Raw genomic sequence first — 7,695 nt, 5'->3', positions numbered from 1 at the left:
TCTACTAAAAATTGCTAGGCGTGGTGGCGTGCACATGTAGTCCCAGCTAGTTGGGAGGTTGAGACACAAGAATTGCTTGAACCCAGGGGGAGAAGGTTGCAGTGAGCCAAGATCATGCCACTGCACTCCAGCCCGGGGCACAGAGCGAGACTCCATCTCACAAAAAAGCAAAACAAAACAAAACAAAACAAAAAACATAGACCAGGAGTTCCAGAGCAGCCAGGAGAGCTTGAGTCCATGGGGAGGAAGGGGAGCTTCACAAAGCTGGATGAAATCCGCAGGTGTGCTCTGGACACACAGCGCTTCTATAACGAGGTCCTCCGGGCCTTGTCTTTCCTTTTTTTTTTTGAGACAAGGTCTCACTTTGTAACCCAGGCTGGAGCGCAGTTGCACAATCGCGGCTCACTGCTACCTCCACCTCCCAGGTTCAAGCAATTCTCCTGCCTCAGCCTCCCAAGTAACTGGGATTTCAGGCATGCCACTATGCCCAGCTAATTTTTTTTTTTTTTTTTTTTTTGGATTTTTAGTAGAGACAGAGTTTCACCATGTTGGCCAGGCTGGTCTGGAGCTCCTGACCTCAGGTGGTCCACCCACCTCGGCCTCCCAAAGTGCTGGGATCACAGGCGTGAGCCACCGCGCCCGGCCTGCTTTTCAAAGTGTTGTTTGCACCAAGCCCTGGCGTCCTCTGGAAGCTGATTAGAAATGCTGACTCCCAGGCCAGGAGCTGCTCCCGGCTACTCGGGAGGCTGAGGCAGTAGAACCACTTGAACCTGGGAGGTGGAAGTTGCAGTGAGCCGAGATTGCACCATTGCTCTCCAGCCTGGGTGACAGAGTGAGACTCTGTTTAAAAAAAAAAAAAAAAATCTGACTCCCAGGCCCCAGCCAGCCCTCCTGAATCAGAGTCTGCGTTTTAAACAAGATGTACATGGGAGTCTGAGAAACCTTGCTGTTGGGATCTGTGGAAGCCTACAGCAGCCTTCCAACAAAGGTGAGAAGAAACTTGCAACCCTCCTGCTGCTTCTGGGGAGTTACTGAGAGGAGGTGATAATCAGGAAGAAACCTCTGGGCTGGCTGCCGCTACTTGGAGACATTTCACTGACCTTTGTCCAGTAAGGCCACTAATACGGCAAAAGAGTGGGACCGACCCTTTAGAACACCCTTACTGGTGACCAGTGATTGCAGGCCTCAGACAAAACAGGGAAACACTTCAGGGAAGCAAATTAATGTCCTAACCCAGGTCTGCCCTGAATAGGCACATGTTTACAAAGTGCCTAGTGCTGTACTCGCGAGAGAGAGTGTGTGTGTGTGTCTGTGCGTGTGTGTGTGAACAGTCCTCCCCTAACGTGCATGGCCAGAGACAATGTCTGCTTTCTTTTATAAACAGAACCCATGTGTCTGCATAAAAGAGGAATACTATTTTATTAACATCTCATCTAAGGATACAAAAACTTCTGTCTTAAAGAAAAAGCCATTTCCAAAAATCAAGAATTTTTTTTTTTTTTTTTTTTTTGAGACAGTTTCGCTCTGTTGCCCAGGCTGGAGTGCAGTTGTGCAATCTCGGCTCACTGGAACCTCCACCTCCCGGGCTCAAGTGAGTCTCCTGCCTCAGCCTCCCAAGTACCTGGGATTACACGCCTGGCTAATTTTTTGTATTTTTAGTAGAGACAGGGTTTTGCCATGTTGACCAGGCTGGTCTTGAACTCCTGACTTCAGGTGATCTGCCTGCCTTGGCCTCCCAATGTGCTAGGATTACAGGCATGAACCACCACGCCCTGCCAAGAATTTCTTCTTACTGTGAAATATGACTGGTCTCTCTGAATCCATCTCTTTCTCTTTGCCCTTTCCCCAATAGATTTCCTTTCTCTTTTTTTTTTTTTTTTTTAACAGAGAACATGAGTTTCCAGTTGACAAAGTCTGTGCTCAGCTCCTTCACTGAACATTGCTCTGAGCCAACGCATGTCAGCGAGAGGACGCGGTGACACCGGCCTGTGGTTGCACCCAGAAACAAACAAGTAGGGAGAGCAGCCCCAGTTCTCCAGAATGACCTCTTTCCTCCGAATCCCACTCCAGGAAGAGAGTCCAGCAGGGGCCCCTGAGCTTGGGGCTGGCCCTGTGCGCTGTCAGCAGAGACCCCTGTCCATCAGCACTTTGCATGGGTCTGTCCTGCTTCAGTGGGGAATGTTCCTCAGCAAAAGAACTGAGTGCAATGCAGGGATGCCATCGGAGTTGGCTGGGGACAGCCTGGCTTTGTCATGTTAGGGGGCATGGAGGGGCATGCAGTGCTCAGGGTGGACACCACACACAAGGGTCACACTGAGCTCAGAGGAACAAATCGCAGGGAGAGAATGTGCCAATGGTGCTTTCTCCAAGACACCTCTGACCTGGAACTGCAAACCACCGCTGATTCCCCTGCCCAGCTCCTCTGTTAGAATGACCCCGTGGGGCTGCAGATGACTTAACAGCTATATTTAGCAAGTCATGGGAGGGATGGGCCAGTTCCAGCCAGCTAGCCTGCCTTCAGAGGCCCTAGATTCCTTTGTCCTTCCCTTCTGCCTCCCCTCCTAGTTTTTCCCACTGGCTGGCTCTTAACCCCTTCATGGCTTGAGGACTCCTCTCAAATATGGGCAAAGCAGATAGAACGTAAGGGAGGCCACCCGAGTATCCCAGCCCCCAAATTTCTCACTCAGCTGCCTGGAACTCTGCTTTACGAACTCCCTTTCTTCAGTCCTGAACTTTTCTTTTTTTTCATCATTAAGTGTTTCCTAATAAAATTATGCAAGTACCCTTGGGAAGGGGATGACTCAAGCTTTTCTTTGATCAGCTCACAGACTCCGCAGAATGGGCACAGTCGAGGCTTTGGAGGGGACGGGACTGACTTCGGGAGAAAACGGAAGATGATTACACACCCAAAATCAGTAAAACAAAGCAAAGTGATGCAAAAGGGCAAAAGGCACGGAAGAAGGCACAGAGGAGTTCTCTCTGGCTGGTTCTGCTAGCCCTGAATGAAATTGACAGTTAGAATAATGGAAACCCTACATATTGATTTAATCAAAATCTGTGAGAGGAGGAGTGTAGGTGGGAGCTGGTGCGGATGAAACACTCTAGATCTTCATCTTTCACACGAGAAAGATACGGAAAACTGAAATATTGAGAGAGCTTGAAATATTCAGAGAACTGGATATGCTTGTATTTTAAAAATAAGGAGTAAGGCCGGGCGTGGTGGCTCACGCCTGTAATCCCAGCACTTTGGGAGGCCAAGGCAGGTAGATCACTTGAGGTCAGGAATTTGAGACCAGCCTGGCCAACATGAAGAAACCCCGTCTCTACTAAAAATACAAAAATTAGCTGGGTGTGGTGAAAGGCGCCTGTAATCCTAGCTACCCAGGAAGCTGAGGCATGAGAATCACTTGAGCCCAGGAGGCGGAGGTTGCAGTGAGCCGAGATCGCACCACTGCACTCCAGCCTGGGCAACAGAGTGAGACCCTGACTCAAAGGAGAAAAAAAAAAAAAAAAGACACTGAGTTTGGGGGTGGCTTTTTATGCAGCATTATTGTGGCAATAGCTAACTGACATATTGCCTGACCCCAGAGCTATGCTCTTGAACGCTGCTATATTGTCAATATGAAATTTAAAGGGGAATAAAAGAAAAATAAAAACAAACATAAAAAAAGAAAGAAAAGAATTTTTTTTTAAAAAAGGAGCAAATAGCAGAAAAAACAAAAAGGAGGAGAATTAGAAGTGAAGAGGAATGCACTAGGGACCCTTTTTCTTTACAATTCTAGGAGTATTTAGCTTCTAAACTATTTTTAAAAGAATTAAAAAGAGGTCAATGCCCCTTAATTTCAGATTTCTACACAGGGTTCTCAGCTGGGTTTTTCTTTTTTTTTTTGAGTCGGAGTCTCACTCTGTCACCCAGGTTGGAGTGCAGTGGCGCAATCTCGGCCCACTACAACCTCCACCTCCCAGGTTCCAGCGATTCTCCTGCCTCAGCCTCCCTCAGCTGGGTTTTTCTAAAGCCTGTGCCATTCAGAGGCCCAGCACTTTGCTGAATGGGTTGAACAAGATCCACCACACCCTCGAGAGGATGGCAGAAAGCACTGCCAGGGTCTTTCCCAAGAAGTAGGACTCATAAAGCTGGTCTTTTTTTGTGATGACCCCAGTAGCGTTAAGCAAAGAACCAGCTTTGTGAAATGTATTTTTTTTTTAAAAAAAGAAGAAGTAGCACCAAGAAGACAGAATTCTTTGTCCTGGTTTGGCTTGAAAAGGGGCAAACCTGGGTGAATCCACAGGACTTGAAGCCGCAGGTTTGTCTGTGTGTGGGGTTGCGGGGGAGAACTTATAAACGGGCAATTCCAATGGAAGAACTTGCACACCCTTTGCCTCCCAGGGCTTCATAGTTTCCATGCTCGCTGACCTGTTGTGCAGAGAAACCACACAAACAGATAGACCTGGCCTTCCTGTAATTCCTGTCCTTGTGACTGTACTCTTAGGGGGCTCAGCCTGCCACATGCAGCAAACACTGCTCGGCTGATGTTCAGATGGCGGGGTCCACGCCAGATAGGAGCCCCAGCAAAGATCCAGCACAGCCCCTTTCCACAGGTATCTGGGGATCTGGGCTCCTACAGCTCCTGTCCCATGGGTAAGCCAGGCTGGACAGTGGAAATCCACTTCCCTGGTTTCTGTGCGCAGTTTTCTTCTCTTTATTGCATCAAAACCTGGAACCCAGCTGCTAGCATCCCTAAACTATAACTCAGACACCACCATTTCACAGTGGCATTGTACCCAACTTACAGGCGTAATGCCTGGGAGAAAAATGGACTGAAACGCTGTGTATGGGTGGGCTTTACAAAACATATAAAATGAGATCGTGCAATGCACTTAAAGCCCTTCCCCTAGGCTGGGCGCGGTGGCTCACGCCTGTAATCCCAGCACTTTGGGAGGCTGAGACGGGTGGATCACGAGGTCAGGAGATCGAGACCATCCTGGCTAACACGGTGAAACCCCGTCTCTACTAAAAATACACAAAATTAGCCGGGCGTGGTGGCGGGCACCTGTAGTCCCAGCTACTCGGGAGGCTGAGGCAGGAGAATGGCATGAACCCGGGAGGCAGAGCTTGCAGTGAGCTGAGATTGCACCACTGCACTCCAGCCTTGGGGACAGAGCGAGACTTCGTCTCCAAAAAAAAAAAAAAAAAAAAAGCCCTTCCCCATATAGTCAGCACTTAGCATTAAAATAAAGCAACAAAATAGCATGCAGCTGTAATCCTAGCTAGTCGGGAGGCTGAGTCCAGGAGTTTGAGACCAGCCTGGGTAACATATTGAGACACGTCTCTAAATAAATAATATTTAGAGCATGTGCCTGAATAAAATAAAACAAAGAATATTAGTCATAAATATGATAATAATTATTATCACCTACTTTGATCAGGAAATATGCTAGGAACTGAGATTAATTTACATGTATTCTCCTACCACAGTACAAACTTTACATTTTTTAATTAAAAAATAGCTTAATAAACCCATTGTTGGATGATAAATCTCTGAATTCCAGGTTGTAACAGTATGTGTAAAACAAAACAGTCAATTCTACTCAGCAGGTTTTAAGGGAGACCTGCATTCTTTTTTTTTTTTCTTTCAAGACAAGGTTTCGCTCTGTCATCCAGGCCGGAGTGCTGTGGTGTGATCATAGCTCACTGCAGCCTCAAAATCCTGGGCTCAAGCGATCCTCCCATTTTGGCCTGCCAAAGTGCTGGGATTAAAAGCATGAGCCATCATGCCCAGCCAACTTGCTAACTTTCTACAACTTTCTCAGTCTTTGCCCTACAGCTAATTAGATGTGATCATTGCCAGTCCTTTAAGACAATATGATATTGTACTGAGTGAACTTACTGCACTTTTTATAATTATTCCCCCAAGTGCTGGATATTTAGGTGGTTTCTTACTTTCATACTATTTAGAATACTGGATGAGCATCTTTGTTCAAAAGCTCTTTTCTATCTTTAAAATTATTTCCTTGCTTTAGAGTCATAATCAGGGAAATGTTAAAGGGGAATGAAGACTTTTAAAGGCTTTTGAATTTCATTCCTTAAGAATTGTACTAATTTATGATTATCACTGGGAGAATTTGAAAGTTCCCATTTTATTGAACTCTTGCTAGCATCAAATATTTTCATTTAAAAAATAATTTTAGGCCAGGCGTGGTGGCTCACGCCTGTAATTCCAGCACTTTGGGAGGCTGAGGTGGGTGGATCACTTGAGGTCAGGAGTTCAAGACCAGCCTGGCCAACATAGCAAAACCCCATCTCTACTAAAAATACAAAAATTAGCCAGGCGTGGTGGCACATGCCTGTAGTCCCAGCTACTCAGGAGGCTGAGGCAGGAGAATCGCTTGAACCCAGGAGCCAGAGGTTGCAGTGAGCTGAGATCACACCACTGCACCCCAGCCTGGGTGACAGAGTGAAACCCTGTCTCAAACAAACAAACAAAAAATAATTTTAAGTACTTAAAATACTTATATGGCATTTTCTTTTAGCTTGTACTTCCTGGATTACTGGCGAGATTGAACATTTTCTTATTTGCCTGCTAATTAGTAGGATGTCTGTGTTTGCTATTTTTTTCTGGTCATATCCTGAAGGCAATTATGCATATTTAGGACCAAATATGATAAATGTAAATACTGAATATCCTGATTATCCAAAAAAATCACACCTTTAATTACTTGGAGTTTTTGCAATTTTTTAACTCCTGGGAGAAAGTGGTAAACTGTCAACTAAAATCTAACAACATGAATGAAGCTCATGGACATGACGTGGAGGCAAAGAAGCCACACACAGAAGTGCACATGCTTTCGTTCAGACGAGCTCCAAGGACGAGCTCCTGAATGAGGGCATTGACTGGGGGTGGAGGGTGGGGGTTGGGCAAAAGGAAGCAGTTTGGGAGACTGGAAATATTCTATGTCTTGATCTACATATATATGTATACACACACATGCACCCTCACATACATATTTTTAAATCCCCCTAACGTGAGAACATTTCACATTTTACTGGGTCTCTATTCTCTCTGTATGTGCATATGTGTGTATGATATGTACATCCACACATACACAAACTTTTTCTCTCGTAAACTTACTTTTATAGCTTCCATAAGGCTTCCTAGGGTCAGAACTCTGAGGATCCAACAGTGGCCCAGGGGTTGTCAGTTCCACTGCAGAGTCTAGGGAAGAGGCAGCAGAGTGACCCCCCAATCCCCAGCCCTATGTGAGAAACCGAGAACAAAAGCCCATTGTGAACACAGAAGGGGAAAAATCCTAGATTTCACGAGGCTCTGAACTAGGAAGTATTATGAGGTCCACAAGACTCCAGTACTCGAAGACCACAGACAATGTGGCCCAAGATCTGGAGCTACTGTTAAGTCAGAAGAGACCAGAAATGGTAGGGAAGAGAGTTAGGAAGCTGTGTTGACATTTTGTCAGAAACCAAGATGTCTGTGAAAGATCTCAGGTTAGTCTTCAAGGACACCTCCTGAAAAGCAACAAGCGATACCCTGACACTCCTCTGAGATGTGAGAACGAATGTTTAGAAGGTGACCCTGTGTCCCTGCAAGAAACTGCCTGAAGAAAAGATCCATTTGGCTGGATCTAGACAGGGAACATAATATAAATATGTTAAAGGGTTTTCGTTGATAAATATTGACT

General features: G+C 46.0%; 1 annotated feature.

Annotated features, from left to right (window-relative positions):
• Positions 951 to 4,818: an enhancer, noted in NCBI's record as "VISTA enhancer hs1962". NCBI's record gives its function as "enhancer in: heart[15/17] | melanocytes[7/17]" and the evidence as "EXISTENCE:transgenic organism evidence [ECO:0001131][PMID:17130149]".

The sequence above is a fragment of the Homo sapiens genome, chromosome 8 (assembly GCF_000001405.40).
Source record: "Homo sapiens chromosome 8, GRCh38.p14 Primary Assembly".
Taxonomy (NCBI): Eukaryota; Metazoa; Chordata; class Mammalia; order Primates; family Hominidae; genus Homo; species Homo sapiens.
The sequence above is the reverse complement of the archived record's forward strand: the minus strand, read 5'-3'. Positions and strand labels throughout refer to the sequence as shown.